At 39.9% G+C, this 16,790-nt stretch overlaps 1 long non-coding RNA gene and 1 pseudogene across 1 annotated transcript; both read left to right on the top strand.

Annotated features, from left to right (window-relative positions):
* The first annotated feature begins 587 nt into the window (after positions 1-587).
* LINC01887 (long intergenic non-protein coding RNA 1887) lies at positions 588-16,010 on the top strand. Its single transcript, NR_146509.1, has 3 exons — positions 588-779; positions 9,991-10,186; positions 14,155-16,010. It is a non-coding gene; the product is annotated as a long intergenic non-protein coding RNA 1887 (long non-coding RNA).
* On the top strand, positions 2,695-3,392 carry MIX23P1 (MIX23 pseudogene 1; annotated as a pseudogene).
* Positions 16,011-16,790: the final 780 nt, after the last annotated feature.

Below are 16,790 nucleotides of genomic sequence, written 5' to 3'. Positions count from 1 at the left end.
TGTGGTGGAGGGAAGGTGAGGGCCACGCCTCTCACAGGCACATGCTTGAACCTGGAGACAAAGTACTCCTAGGGTTTGCCCAGGGCTGTAGGAAACCTTGATGATCATCCTCTGAACTTTTAGGACTTTTAAAAGCACATTCATGTTTCTGTCCTCGCTGTTGACTCCTGGTTTAAAGGGATTGCCCAGGGTGGATGACAGAGCGAATATTCACTCTGGGTTCACTGCTGGAGCTCCAGTGCCCTGGGAGGGGAGAGGAGAAGCCTGACCTTGAGCACAGCTCCAGCCTCCACTCCCCACCCCTATCGCAGGCTCTGGGCTGTGGTTTCATTTTCCCCAGTTCTCTAACTTCTCAGGAAGCCCAGAGTTTCTCCCTAAAGAAAGGTGGCCCTGCACTCTTTCCTCTCCTCCAAAATTAGGCTTCAGTAGTTGTCCTCTAAGTTGATATTTAGACCTTAAAATCTAGACTTCTTGGATCAACAAGAAATACGCAGGAAGTTCCACATGATCTCGTGTGATAGCACGTAACTTAGTGCTACAGGTGACAGTTTTATTTTTGGAGGAGTCTTATTTTACATAGGGAAATAGAAAACTAAGTGGCTTCCCTTGAGGCAGCCCGAGGGCTCCACTGGACCCAGAACTCTGAGTTCTGATGCTGCCTATCATTTGCTTTTCCTCATGAGCTCCTGGACCACCTCATATCACCAGCACCCTCTACCCAAGGTCCTGGAGCCAACACTGGAGTAAAAGAGCACAAGAGAACTCCTTAGAGGTGGAAGGTAAGACAGCCCTGCTTTCTCCCTGAGATTTCTCTGCAAAAAGTGCAGACAAAAGTAAATTGGAACCCCTCAATGGGGTTCCATTGGAATTATCTACAGAGTTTTAGAGTGGGGAAGGATAGCAGAGAACATTTAATTCAACTTTTTCTCTTCCCAGATACAAAAATTGGGGTTATACCTTTAACCCCAATGAAAAAATAGTAGTTTCTTCATCATTACAGATGTCCCTGTTTTTTTGTTTTTTGTTTATTTGTTTGTTTGTTTTTTGTCTTTTGTTTTTGACGGAGTCTCGCTCTGTCACCCAGGCTGGAGTGCAGTGGTGTGATCTCGTCTCAGCTCACTGCAACCTCCACCTCCCAGGTTCAAGCGATTCCCCTGCCTCAGCCTCCCAAGTAGCTGGGACTACAGGCACATGCCAACATGCCCGGCTAATTTTTTATATTTTAGTAGAAATGGGGTTTCAACATGTTGGCCAGGATGGTCTTGATCTTCTGACCTTGAGATCCGCCCACCTCAGCCACCCAAAGTGCTGGGATTACAGGTGTGAGCCACTGCACCCGGCCCCTTACCATCTCTTATTTCTTCCTCTACTTATGCTCTCTGCCCTAAATGGGGTCCTCAGGACCATCCATCAGTGTCTTCATAGAGAATGGAATTTGCACCTTCTCTGTGGGATAATGCATTGCCTCTACACAGTTCATGCATATTCTATGAAAGCAGTATCCAGCCATTAACACATTACTACAGTGTTTACCAATGGCATTCAGTGAGTTTGGACATGATGGACAAGGACAGACTCAGAAGGGACTAATTTCAAGAGGGTACTTTGTCAAGTCAGGCCAAGGGTCCCTGAAGGCAGTGGGGTGAAAGGCAGCAGCCAAAAAGGATGTTTGACATTTTCTCATTTTCCGGTCACAATTTTCAAATAGACCTATGTTGTCACAGGAATTTGCAAAACATCTCAAAATTAAATTTTAACACACGTATAGAAAGCAGGGAAAACACGAATGTACAGCTCAGTGATTCCTCACAAAATGAGCACCCATGCACCCCTAGTCAGGTCAGTATTCCAGACCCACTAGCCACCTTTGGGTCCCTTCTGAAGGTGACTGCTGTGACTTCTAATGCCCTGTTTAGACTTCTCCAGGTTTGCATAATTATGCATAGAAGAAGTCAATATGTATTGCTTGGTGTCTGGCTTCTTTGCTCACGTTGTTTTAGAGATTCAGTCAGGTAGTTAAGCATAACCATAGCCCTTTCGTTTCCTCACCGTATAGTATTCCACTGCGGTCACATGTTGTAATTTATCCACTACTATTGATGGATATGAGGATTTTTTTTATAATTTTGGCTATCACAAATAATGCTGCTTTGAGCATTTTTGTCAATGTTTTTGAATAATACAGGCACCCATTTCTGTTGAGAAGATTGTGAGAAGGGTGCATATCTTTTATTTTCATTAATAACACCAAACTTTTTCCTAAATGGTTACATTAAATTATGCTCCTTTAACAGCCTACGAGAGTAGCCATTTCTCCAAATCCTTGTCAAGTTTTAGTTTTATCTCTCATTAAGAGTTGAATTACTCTGGTTAGTCTTTCATTTGAATAGCCTTTTATTTTTAAAATGTAACAAAGAAAAGAAACTTCATCTTATTCTAATTATGTTAATTTTCGTAATCAAATTCAGCACACCATCAGGCATCTCGAACAGATAAGTGGTGGTAGCTTACTTTTTCCTGAGCAATGCACACATTTTCCATTTACAAACATTAATATGACCGGGCACAGTGGCTCATGCCTGTAATCCCAGCCCTTTGGGAGGCTGACGCAGGCAGATCACTTGAGGCCAGGAGTTTGAGACCAACCTGGTCAACATGGCAAAACCCCATCTGTATGAAAAATATAAAAACTAGGTCCAATATGGCGGCACCCAGTGGCGGTGTGAACTGTGAGGAGTTCGCCGAGTTCCAGGAATTACTCAAGGTGATGAGGCCTATCGATGACAGAATAGTACATGAATTAAACACTACAGTTCCAACGCCTTCCTTTGCAGGGAAAATTGATGCCAGCCAAACCTGTAAACAACTTTATGAGTCTTTGATGGCAGCTCATGCCAGTAGAGACAGAGTCCAAAAAAATTGTATAGCCCAGACTTCAGCAGTAGTAAAAAACCTCTGAGAAGAGAGAGAAAAGAATTTGGATGATTTAACGTTATTAAAGCAACTTAGAAAAGAGCAGACAAAGTTGAAATGGATGCAGTCAGAACTGAATGTTGAAGAAGTGGCAAATGACAGGAGCTGGAAGGTGTTTAATGAACGCTGCCAAATTCACTTCAAGCCGCAAAAGAATGAATAAAAAGTTTTGTTTTTTTTAATTTATTTTTTTATTTTTAGGACTGGCTCATCTCATGAGAGCTAAGCATGACAGATATCAACAGGGCGGGTTTTCTAGGACCATTTCTGAGCCAACAGTCCAAGACGTTTTGTTGATTTCAGCCCCACTTAGCCAAGACCTCAAGTATAAATAATTCTGATAATTATGGAGAAATCAACTGCTATTTTATACTGATTCTGAAAAAAAAAGTTTTGTAACTATTAAAATAATTTTCTGAAAAAAAAAAGAAAAATATAAAAATTAGCTGGATGTGGGGGCACATGCCTGTGGTTCCAGCTACCAGGGGGCTGAGGGATGAGAATTGCTTGAACCCAGGAGGAGGAGGTTGCAGTGAGCCGAGATCATGCCACTGCACTCCAGTCTGGGTGACAGAGCAAGATTCTGTCTCTTAAAAAAAAATTAATATATCAATCATTTTGAATTGTAATCTTTCTGTAATGCTTCCTTTTAACATTTACAAACGGAGGAAACTAAACTATTGAAATTTGTGAAGTAGTAAAATTATGATTTCAGCTGTGCCCCTTATCCTGCAATACTCATTTGTCAGTGCCTTTAGGACTCATGTCACATGGATTAAACTTAGAGTGAAACACAAAGCCAAAATTATGGCCAGGGGGTTGTTGACTCACATGACCTCTTCAGGAGGCAGTTTGGTTCTGCCAAGGTTAAAGATAGTGTAACTTTCTAGCCATCCTACTTCCAGGAATGCTTCACCAGATACAATCATGCATGAGTGCCAGGAGCGATGCAGAAAAAGCTGTTCACTGCAGCATGGTTTCAATAGCAAGATTACTTTATAGCTCTTAAATAATGAAATGGATTTACATTTGAAATGCAGAATGGTAGCTAAGATGCATTGACCAGTGATATATGCAGAGCTACAGAAGACTTTGTTTAAATATAATCATGCAGAAGCATGCGTTCCTGGTGCTTGTCTGTATTTGCAGATACAGTGCAGGGATGATATGCAAACAAAAATGCTAACTTGGTGTTTGGGAGTTCAGAGTGGAAGGGAAACTTCCTTTCAAACCCTTTCAGATATTTAGAATAATTTCTAACCATAAATATGTAATACATTTAGAAATTAAGTTAATAAGAAAAGCTTACAGTTCTGTTCTTCTCCTGGGCACATGTCTGGTGGACATGGGGCTGTCATAGTAAGTAATGTGTGTAAACTGAGAAAAATCCAAGAATGGGAGTCTGCTTTTTTCATCAAATGATTCTTAAGAGTAGTAGTGTGGTGGTTATTGCTCATTGATATATTACAAATATGTACTAGATAATTTCTGACATTTGAACTGTATTTACATGTGTTGAATTGAAATACCTAGATAAAAATTGAAATACGTAGATAAAATATTGTGACTAATGTAGGCAAACAATAGCTTTTTTGGCATTTTACAAACTGATCATCATTCCTCATGGCACAGGTTCATGTGATATCAAGTAGCTTGCTTTGTTTGGGAAAGGCAATGATGACTGCAAGAATCACTTCAAAAACTAAAGCACAATGGAGATTTCAATTGTGTTCTGTTTAATATTTGAATATTTAATTACATTCCCAGGTTATTTCTCATCCTAATAGTTCTCACCCACATCATGTGGGTCCCATTAGTACAGGTATCTCCGAGTGCTCCACTCTTCCATTACATTGAGTCAATTGCTCATGACCTTGGGCCTCCAATTGGGGCTATTTTCGGGCTATCCATCTCCTGGTCTATAGTAAAAAGCCAATGAGCAGATAAGTGAATACTGAAAAACATTTTTCCTGCTGGAGTGAGAAATAAATGGTCTCTTTCAATAGGGTAGTAAAATGCATCTTTCCCAACCTATTTATATGACTCAAAGCCCAGATGTGGTTAGCCTTAATTCCTGATTGTCATCTATGTGTGTAAATACATAGCACATACATATTCTAGTCTCTATTTCTTATGAAATGTTTTTGTCTCCCATGGCACAGTGCAGAAGAACACAGGTGTTTGTGTCAGACAGCCAGGGTCCAATCCTGCTTCTGCTGTAGTGCAATGTAGGTAATATCTGGCCTGCATTTGGTTTATATGTAGGAGCTCTGTCTTGGTTTAATGATTTTTAAATGCTACTAAATTCAGCTACAGAGGAAGCTGTTTAGATTTGTAGAAAATGGAAACTTTAAAAAATTTTCTTCCCAGAAGCCAAGAACACTTGACTCATGTCAAGTCTACTTATTTATCCACCGGTCCATCTGTCTGTCCATCTACCCATCATCCAACCATGGAACTCAGTGCCAACTCCTGAGGTGGTAATGCATTACAGACTCTCCTGTTCTTTCTAGTCACATATTAAAGTGTTCATAAGTTGACCTTGATTGTGATAAGCATCAAGCCCACTTTCTCCAACACTGTGGATTGCTATCCCCCAACACCCCCTCCAGCTCAATCAGGCAGGTGGGCTCCTGCACTTCATAACAAGCTTACTAGAATATTTCCACCACCTACACAAGAGGGAAAAAAAGTTGTCTATTCTTTAATATTTTGTTTTAGCATGACATCTTTCATGAAAATTTCTCCAGTAGCCACTCCCAGAGCTTGTTTTTCCCCTAATATTTTAAAACCACTGAAAAGGTTTCACAATATGCCATGTCATCTTGCACAATACATTGATTGCCTTGTTTTCTTTGGTTTGGTTTTGATTCTTCAAATTGACTTAAGGATCAGTACTTTCTACTCTGTTTATTGCGTCTGTGCTCCTGAGGAAGATTAACCTCTGGTTTTCCTCTAGGATTGCAAGAGACAACCCTGCTTTAGAGATGAGAAATCTGACACTCTAGAGGTGAAACACTCATCTAAGAGGACCAGGGAGTTAAGTCCATGTTTTATGCCAAAGCCCATTGTTTTCCAGCAGCCATGACATCATTTCTTACTGTAATGGTAAACACTTGGTAGAGACACTCACCTTTAAAATCTCCTGTGGTTGGTGGTTTCATGAGTATGTTGTGTGTTCCTGGCAAGGTATTGTACAGCACTGCCTATGAGACATGGAGGAGTTGCACATGAAGGCCGCCTGCATCCTTGGGGGGAGTTCCTGAAGCTGCTTCCCATGTTTCTCACAGGGAGGCCAGGGAAGATCAGCCCCATTCTGTACACAGGCAAGCCATGAACTGAGGACATCCCTTTCAGGCTATGAATTCTGAGGAATGTTTCTAAGGTGTAGAGAAACATGAAAAACTAGAAATCCATTATGTCTGGAGGTAAAAACAGAAGGCCAGAGGGACAGAAGTGCTTGTGCAGTGGTCAGAGGCAGGGATATTTGGTGTGTTTGCTGCTCTGCTCACCTCGCTCTTCAACCTCCCTGCTGGATTTTTGGAGTCATTTGGGTCTGGGTGTCCCATTTTGGTGAGTGGCTTGGACTGGAGGAAGTCCATAGAGTATGGAGAGGGTACTGGAGGCTGAGGTAGAATGAGGTAAATGGGAATTGGATAAGATGCACTGGCTGCATTTGGTGACATTTCTGCCTGAGTAGGTATTCGAATATGCACTGCCACTTCGTGGTCCCCCTGAGACAGCTGGAGAACTGAATTGACTTTCACTGCTCTGTAATCAGATTGTTTGTAGTAGTTTAATTTACTCGTCAGGTGACAATAATTATTGAAAATATTCCTAAAATGAATTTTCTGCCATTATTATGAATAGTGAAGAAAATCGAAGCCTTTTTGGGAGATCAACAAAATGCTGACTTGGTTTCTATGTATGCCTCATGGGTCATAGCACCCAGCCACTAGCCAGTGCTTGCACCCTCTGCTGGCCCCAGGACTAGGAGGTCAGGGTAGCCTCTCTGATGAGCCTCTGACCTCCAGCCTCAGTAGTGGCAGCACCCCTTCTCCATGGACTTCCACACCAAGGTCCAGAAGCAGGTGTCAGAGAGAGAGAGAGAGAGACCGAGCTCCTCCTCACAGGGGGTTGCCGAGGGCCCCCTGGGCTCTGCCTAGAATGCTCTTGGAGAAGTGCGGATGGAGAAGCAGATTAGAGGCTCCAGTGGTTGGTTCCAGTGAAACTAATCAGAGTGCTAGAGTGCTAGAGACAGGAGAAGACATTTAGGTTAATTTTATCTCTTTCCACCTACAAAAACTAAGGCCCAATTTTTAAATGAAATTGTTTTTCTTCCTTTTATGTGTCTCTAATTGTACCTGACTTTTGCTGACACTCCCGACGTTTAACCACATATTCACAAAACTTCATTCATGTTTTTCATGAGGGATGCAATTCTCACCTGCTCTGACAGGTGAATGCACCATCCAGATGTCCCTATATACATCACATGAAGGAGGTAACAGATGAGTCATCCACACACTAACACAGATGAGTTTATCAAATGCAGCCATTAGGGATGGGCCCATGTTACCAAAGGACAGAGTGGGGGAAGGTGCTCATTCCAAGAGGCTGCTGCAAGAGTTCAGTCAACCCAGGACACCTAGAGCCATCTGGGCCTGAAGCCAGGGGCTGGCAAGTGACAGAATGGACCACAGAGTCTTTTTCTCCTTCCACATTTTCAATAGACCATATACTGTCATAGTATTTTGTGAAACATTTAAAAATCTAAAGTACAACATACATACAGAAAACACATGAAACCTAAATACACAGCTCTGTAACTTATCACAAAGTGAGAACCCATGTAACTACAAGTCAGGTCAAAAACTAGAAGTTACCTGCACCCCAAAACTGTCCTTGTATCTCCTCCTTTCCAAAGCTAGCCACTACAACCTTGTGTGCCAGAGTTCGCTCTCTTTTAGTTTGTGCTTATTATAAATAGAGTAACTCAGGATGTGTGTTCCTGATGGATGTGTGGCGGCTGATGACAGAACTACAAGGAGAGCAGTGCCATGCACTAAACCCTGATCTTGTTCTGGGCATTGGGCTAAAGCTTTCCGTGGCTCATTCCATTTAGTGGCTGGAAGTTGCAGAGGTTTCAGAAGCTCATCCAAGATTCTGGAGCCTCCATCTCCAGCCCTAATGCTGTCCGCCTTTTCACCCAGCCACCACCTGTTTCAGGAGAACACACAGAAGTGATGACCTTTTCTGGACAGGCAAGTAAATCCTGCTGTTTTTATTATTCACGGAAAAAACACTGGCTCATGGGAGGTGGGAAGGTGACAAACTCATTCTCCCTGGACCCCAGGAACCACAGATAGGATTATACTGACTACCAGTATTTTATTCGGTTAGTTCTACCTACATGCATCCTGTAGTATTGAAATGCGTTAGGCTGGCATTTTTGGCCAATGTACTTTACATTCTGGGTTAGAGGTTTTTAAGATTCACCTGTGTAAGCTGACTTAGTTTTCTGTAAGTTTGTGAAAAAGTACAAAAATGGTGATCTCTTTTATCATACAAATAATTTCTTTTTAATAGAATGTTTTTTCTAATTAATGTATTAATGTACTTTTCATTCAACACATTCGCTTACATTTGAACTATTTTATGAATGAATGTTTAATTGCATAGGTGAAGATTACTAGTCACGGGCATTTTACTAACTGATTCTCATTAGGCATAGGTTCATGTGATGTCAAGGAGCTATGTTTTGTTTGGTAAAAGTAATAAAATAGCACAAGAATGAATGCAAGCACTGAAGCACGATGGAGGCGCCTATCATGACTTGTCTATGATTTACATCACTCGTTGTCTTTCCAGGTTGCTTATCATCCTGATAATTGTCATCAGCATTGTTTGGGTCCTTCTAGCACAGTTTCACAAAATGGGCAACTCTTCCGTTAGGTAGAGATAATTCCATTTGAGCCTTTAATTGCATCTGTCTTCCAGCTTCTTCTTTTGGAAGAGTTAATTAAAGGGTAGATACATTAGAAATTTTTTTTCCATGTTAGAATGAGCAAACCACAATGTTCATTTACCTGGAGTAGCAGAATGCTTCCTTTTGACCTCCCAAGCTCATCTCAATTTCATTGCAGTAGCCCCATTTCTTAATGCTCACCAAAGTGTGTAAATATAGAGGGCGTTCCTGTAGTCAGGTGTTTCTATTTCTTATGATCTGTGATATTTATACATAGCACAGTGCTCAGCAGCACAGATTTGGGAGTCAGGATGCTTGGATCCAGTCCTTACTCTGATACTGAATAGAATTGTGATCTTGAGCAAATCCCTTGAATCTATGTAAAAGTATTATAATTCTACCTTATTTTTGAGATTCCTGAGACAATTAAGGTTTTTTTTTTTTTAATGAAGCCCTGGAGCACTAGATGTACCCTTATCATTATTATTATTATTTTCAGGTGTTGGTCAGGTTCAGCGACATTAATATCTCTTTGTCTTTATCTTCATCTCTCAAAATCCTCTGCTTGCCTTTATGCAATACTGTTTTTCTTAAATGTAATTCCTTACACAGGAAGACTGAGGATTACCACCAAATTTTGAAAGTAAATAAAAGCTCTTAATTATCAAAAATTTTAATGGAACTGTGAAAACCACCTAATATCAACTTTCTAAACTGTATAACAAAAGTCAGTTCTGTTTATTCTACAAAGTGAATATTTTTGAATCTATGTATAATTAATTATATTAATTACATTTTTCAAGGAAACCCACCATTTTGGATCATGGAGTGCAGGATTTATGAGTCTCCTGGAGGCTGGAGAATCAAAGTACAAAGCCGTGTTCCAGCTCTGGAGTGCAACAGCCCACTACTAAATACACATGTATTTGCAGCCTTTTTGGCTCAAGGCTAGATGCTTGTCAGTCCTTAGGTTGAGAAAGCAGGCATGGTGACAATTATGACCTCTCCTATTTCCTCAAATCTCTGATTCATTCTTGCTTCTAATGCAGGATACCCTCTGAGGTCAAATCATTGGGCTTGTGGCCATGAGACCACAGACTTTGCCTGGCTTCCAGTGACTGTCCGAGATGACCTGTGGAGTGCACCGCCTGTACTTGGACATCACTGTCTTTTCGGATCCATACCCGTCATCCTTGGAATTTCCCCTGCATCCAAACCTGTTCCTGATACAGGTGTGAGTAATGAGTAAGGAATTTATGGTTTTATTTAAAGATAGGAGCTTTGCTTTTTAAAACTGCTGCTCATGTACAGGTCCCAGGCCAGTAGAATCATGGCAACACAGATTCCCAGAGCTAGAAGGAACTTGTGGTATCATTCAGTCATCCAATCAAATAATATTTGCACCTAATCTGTACAAGGAACCAGTGACATAAGGAATAAAGGATTAGAAAATGGGCTCCACATAAAATTTTTTTAAAGGAAAACCTCACAATGCAATTGAGAGGAATATTTGCACCGTTCTTTTTGGATATCAGGAAGTAAACAGAGTTCCCCATGAGAATGGGAAAGACTTCCCAGCAGAGCTGTCATCTGGGCTGGACCTGTTTGTGGGTGAGTAGCATTTCACACACAGCATGCACCAGCACAGAGATAAAAAAAAGTTCATGGAAACTGTGAGCAGAAAGAAGCAAAATAAAACACTGAGGTGTGCTTTTGTCTTTCAGGTTGTCACAGATGTTTAATACAGGTTAGCATCCCAAATCCAAAAATCTGAAATCCAAAATGCTCCAAAACCCAAAACATTTTCAGCTTCTAAATGATGCCCAAAGGAAGTGCTCGCTGGAGCATTTCAGATTTCAAATTTTTGGATTTGGAATTCTCAATCAGTAAGCATATATAATGTAAACATTCTGAAATCTGCAAAAACCCAAATCGGAATCACTTCTGGTCCCAATCATTTCAGATAAGGGATACTCAGCTCTCATGTGTAACATTCAGTGTTGGTGAGGATGGGGGGTAACACCCACTCTCTGTAACTGCTAGAAGCATATGAATTTGTATGATTTGTAAGAGGGCAATTTGGGAGGACCTATCTGTTTTAAAATTCTCCTAACCCATGGATCTCATCCCATTTCTAGAGTCTTTTATGTAAAATATTTCTACCATTAGGAGAAATATATGCAAGGGGACTTTCTATGTAGCAATGTTTTAATAAAATAGAAAATTGGGACAAACCAAATTTCCATCACAAAGGAAATAGATACACAAATAATAATACACTGAATATTATGCAGGTTTTAAACATCAGAAAAGGGCTCAGCTTCTGATCTCCAATGATGGTGTTGAAGTGGGTCACAGCCGGTTTACACTTGGTTTTCATGTGGGAACTCTGGGTGTCTGCCTTAGTTTAATGATTTTATATGTCACTAAATTCAGCTAATGGAAAGCTATTCCATGCATGGCAAAACGGAACTTGAAAACAGTTTCTTGTCAACAATCGAGTGGACCTGTTTTATGTACAACCCACGCCTTCATCTGCCTGCCCCTCAGTCTGTCTGTCCTCACAGTCCTCATTCATTAGTGGAACTGAGTGCCCACTGTTGGGTTGACGATCAATTCCATAACCTCCCTGTTCCTAGTCACACATCAATTCTTCAATACATCCCTTTGGATCACTTGGGATTAAACCTCCATCTCCAATTTCTTCCCCAGACGTATTTCTCACTCTTCTCCCAGCACACCCTTCAGCCCATCCATGCAGGTTTCTTTGCTTTTCCCACTTTACACCAAACTCTCTGTTTGTTGTTTTTTTTTTCTTTTGAGACGGAGTCTCGCTCTGTCACCCAGGCTGGAGTGCAGTGGCGCGATCTCGGCTCACTGCAAGCTCCACCTCCTGGGTTCACGCCGTTCTCCTGCCTCAGCCTCCCGAGTAGCTGGGACTACAGGCGCCTGCCACCACGCCCGGCTAATTTTGTTTTGTATTTTTAGTAGAGACGGGGTTTCACTGCCTTGGCCAGGATGGTCTCAATCTTCTGACCTCGTGACCTGCCCATCTCGGCCTCCCAAAGTGCTGGGATTACAGGCGTGAGCCACCGCGCCTGGCCCAAACTCCCTGTTTTTACTCCAACTTTTACCTCCTCTTCAAGACAAAACAAGCAAACAAAACTGTAACAGTATTTTTAAACTTAGCTGTAATCTTTCTTCCTTCATGAACATTTCTCCAAAAGCCATTCCCATGGCTCTGTGTGTTCCAAATATTTTTAAATATTAGGTATAAGGTTGAGCGTTTCAGGATATGCTGTTTTGAGCTGTACACTAACTGTACTGTTTGTATTGATTCTTCACATTTGAGGCATGGTCATTGCCTCCCACTGCTTTGGAGAGTTGATGTCAGTGCTCCTGAATAAGATTGGTGCACAGTTTTTCTTTTTATACTTAATTTTTTGGTTTGGTATTAAAATTACAGTGTTTTCATCAAATTAATTGTAACTAGCCCCTTTCATCAATTTCATGGAAATATTTCAATCAGATTTGAATGCCAACTCCATTGTAATTTTGGTATTTAGCCACTAATACTATTAGGGGTGTGTAGGGGGCAGGAGGTGGAGCTGGGGTAAAGAAAGGGAGAGAAAGATGGAGATGAGGAAAGATACTTCTTAACTACTAATTAAATTTATATAATGGCTATTGAAGTATTTAGGATTTTTCTTCATGAATTCATTTTAGAAAATTATGCCTTCTAGGATTTTATCTATCTTGTACACATTTTAAATGTCTCAGCATAAATTTCCTCATAATATCCACTGATTGTCCATTTTGTAATCTCTGCTACCTCTATAGTTATGTCTTTTTATTAAGTTCTGATATGAATTTTTGTGATTTCTCTTTTTTTCTTGATAATACACTTTTCTCAAAAACAACTGTTGGCTCTGTTACCCCTTCCCGCTATTGTCCTTATTTTCTCTTTCATTAATTTCTCTTCTCATCTGTTATCCTTCCATTACATTATTTGGATTTCTTCTGATGTTATTTTTTTCTAACTTAAGTTGTATACTTAATTTTTACCTTTCTTTCCTATTTATTTTTGAGACAGAGTCAAGCTTTGTTGTCCAGGCTGGAGTGCAGTGGCAGGATCTCGAGTCACTGCACCCTTTGCCTCCCGGGTTCAAGCGATTCTCCTGCCTCAGCCTCCCCAGTAGCTGGGACTACAGGCGTGCACCACCACATCTGGCTAATTTTTGTACTTTCAGTAAAGACATAGAGACGGGGTTTCACTATGTGGGGCAGGCTGGTCTCAAACTCCTGACCTCAAGTGATCCTCCCACCTTGGCCTCCAAAAGTGTCAAGTTCCTAATTTCAATAACTCATCTCATAGATTGCTCTCACATAATGCTCTTTGCTGCATCTCCCAATTTTCAGTTTGGGCAATTTTTATTATTTATTAGTAAGTGTTATTTAATTTCATTGTGATTCTTACAGAGATTTGAGTTTAGAACTATGGTCTACATTTTCTCATATTGCAGCCAATGCTCCTGTGCATGAGTCTTCATATTTTGCAAGTCTACTTTGGGATAGATTTTGAGATGTTGGACGATGGGTCAAAGTGTTAGTGCTTATGCAGCTTTGCTAGATGTTGCCAAACTCCTCTCCACAGGTGCTGAGTCAGCTTTCTTCACAACAATGTGGGCACAGCCACACTAACGTAGTTACATGTGAAACTTCTAAAATTTTGTCTTGAAGTGGTTTCTCAGTATAGTTTTAATGTGAACTTTTTCACATTTTGAATGAGATTAAAAGCCATTTGTTCTTTTGTTTTTCTTTGAACTGTTTGTTCATGTCTCTGACATGCTTACATGGGCTTGTTGGTAGTCTTTTCTTCCCTATTTTTAGAGACTTGTTATATATTAAGGGTAATAACACCTTTGTGTTATGCCAGGCCTGTTTTGTTTTTTTGTTTTGTTTTGTTTTGTTTTTCCTGTTTACCATGTATCTTTTGCACTTTATTGAACTTTAGGTGATACAAAATTTTTCTATTTTCATATAATAAAATTTAATTATAATTTAATGATATTCTCAAGGTTTCTTCACCGCTTTCAAGGGGGTGTTCACTTTCTTCAGTAACGTGTGCTGCTTTGACAGGGAACAGCCAGCGTCAGCTGAAATCGGAATTCTCTGTCTCATGTTTTAGAAGAATTGCTCTTTCTTTATTTCAGATAACCCTAAGGAATATCTTGGATGTCTTCACGGGGCTTATGACTTATTCTGAGGTTTACAAAATAGAGGCCCCCAGCTGAGCAAAGAGAGGGCTGCAGCGCCGAGGGAACAGCTGCCGGACTCACCGGAGAGGCCTCCTGGAGCACGCCGGGACCCCCTCCACCCCCTGGCTTTGGCTGCATCAATGGCTAGTTTGCCTGAACTATATCTGAGCCACTGAGAGTATTTATTAAGCAGAGAATAATTTTGAGTTTCACTTTTATAACTTTTGTTTCAAAAGTTGTTTTGGATAATTTAATGAAATGACTGTAAACCAGAATTCCCCTTTTCATTATTTCTTTGTGTCAATATAAAAAGAGTTGATGATTTTAAAAGCCAGTGAGATGTCCCTGTCTGTGGATGTCAGCGGGAGGGTGGGGTCTGACGCCTTTCTCTGGTGGCTGTCCAGGAAGATTGCCCCAGCTTGCACTCCCTTTTGGCGGGTTCCAGAGCCTTCCATTTGAAAGGAGCATCTCTCACCACTCTGCCCCACCCAGCACCAGCTCTTCTGGAACCCACTGACTTCCTAAACACTTTCTTCCTCCTTCACCTCATTGAATTCAAGACTTTAGAAAACAGCCAAAAACTCTAGAGGTGGGGGTGGGTTCGATCTGGAAATCCCTGCTGTAATCTTTTTAAGGGAATCCACTGGAAATTATTAATTTATGTTTTAAATAAAACCATTCCTTACTTAACAGAATATTAAGCCACTCATTTTTTTAACAGAACTTTCGAGATATAATTAAAATGCCATAAATTTCACCCCCACACAGTGTACAATTCCAAGGTTTCCAATATAGTCACAGAAGTCTCTGCAACAATTACCACAATTTTAGACATGAAGACCATTTGTTGGCAGCCCTACCTGCCTCTATGTGTATGTATATAATTTTAATATTGGATTGGATACTATAGTAATATTGTACTGTTACCTATTTGTGTTTTTATATTGCTGTTTTATTTTATTCAGATGAATAATAATTATCTCCATATAGTCATACATTTATATAGGGTTAAACACACCTTTTTACAATTCAATAAATTAAATTGGTCAGGTATGGTGGCTCACGCCTGTAATCCCAGCACTTTGGGAGGCCAAGGCGGGTGGATCACCTGAGGTTGGGAGTTTGAGACCAGCGTGATCAACATGGAGAAACCCTGTCTGTACTAAAAATACAAAAAATTAGCCAGGCATGGTGGCACATGCCTGTAATCCCAGCTACTTGGGAGGCTGAGGCAGGAGAATCACTCGAACCAAGGAGGCGGACATTGCGGTGAGCCAGGATCGCACCATTGCACTCCAGCCTGGGCAACAAGAGCAAAACTCCATCTCAAGAAGAAAAAAAAAAAAAAAGTAAATTGTTTTTAATTACATAAGAAACACGTGTTATTGTTATAGAAATTCACATAGTGCTTCGGTCTATAGAATAAATGTATCCCCACCACCTCCCAGCCCACCCACTCGTCTGCATTCACCTACACACAGTTAAACATGCACATATGTTTCCGTGACACGATCTTGCTTTGCATATTGTTCACTGACTGGCTTTTCCATATAAGATTTAATTTGGTGATTATTGCTTATCAGTACCTATAGGTCTCTCTCATTATTATTTATAATTACATCATTATTCCATAGGGTATTTTACCACAATTTGGTCACTTTTTCACTGAGGAATTTTTATGTCAGTTTCAGTTATTTGTTATTGTTACCAATGCTGTACTGGGCATCCCTGTATATCCACCTTTTTGTTGCATTAGTTAAGTGGTTTTTTCCTTTTATGATTGATTTCTAAAAATAAAATACTGCAGCAAATGTTAATGTTTAATATTTTCATAAAATTAAAAATCTGTGTTCCAAAAAGAAATCAATGGTTTATACTTCTACCATCAATGTATGAGAATTCCTATTTCCCCACACCCTTAATTACATAGGAAATTATCAATGTTTGCCAATTTTATGATTTTAAAATATTTTTACTTTTAATTTGGATTTCTCCACTTATTAGGGAGATTGTGCATATTTGTGTATGTGTGTTGGCCGTTTGTATTTCTCCCTGTGATTTTCATAATGATACGTTTTCCTAGTTTTCTAATTCATTTAGTGATATTCTTTATATGTTCTGCACATTTATTATTTCCATATAATTACTGAGTTTTTTTTAAGGTCTGTGTCATAACTTTTACTTTGTTTATATTGTTTTTGTTTTGAAGAAGGTTTTCTTTTTACATAGTCAAATTTTCAATATTTTCCTTACCATTTCTGGATTTTGTGACAGGCTTTCAATAGTTGGTCCTTCTAGGGCTTTATTGATTTGTTTTGTTTTAAAGAACATGCTCAAATCCTACATTATATAGTGATTTACTTGTTCCCTTTATAACACGTGGTAGACATTACTAGTTCCAATTAATGTAGATTAAATGTATTCTTTTCAGTTGTGTAGTAATTCATAGATACGTTCTGATTTCTTTATTCTCTGTTAGATGGATATTAAGCTTATTTTTTAAAATTCCCACCACTAATGACTTTCCAGTAATCATCAATATACATAGATCCCCCCAATGTTTTTGTTTTTTTGTTTTTATGTAGTATACG

Source organism: Homo sapiens, chromosome 18, assembly GCF_000001405.40.
Source record: "Homo sapiens chromosome 18, GRCh38.p14 Primary Assembly".
Classification (NCBI taxonomy): Eukaryota; Metazoa; Chordata; class Mammalia; order Primates; family Hominidae; genus Homo; species Homo sapiens.
Note: the sequence above shows the minus strand (reverse complement) of the source record. Positions and strands in the feature narration are given on the sequence as shown.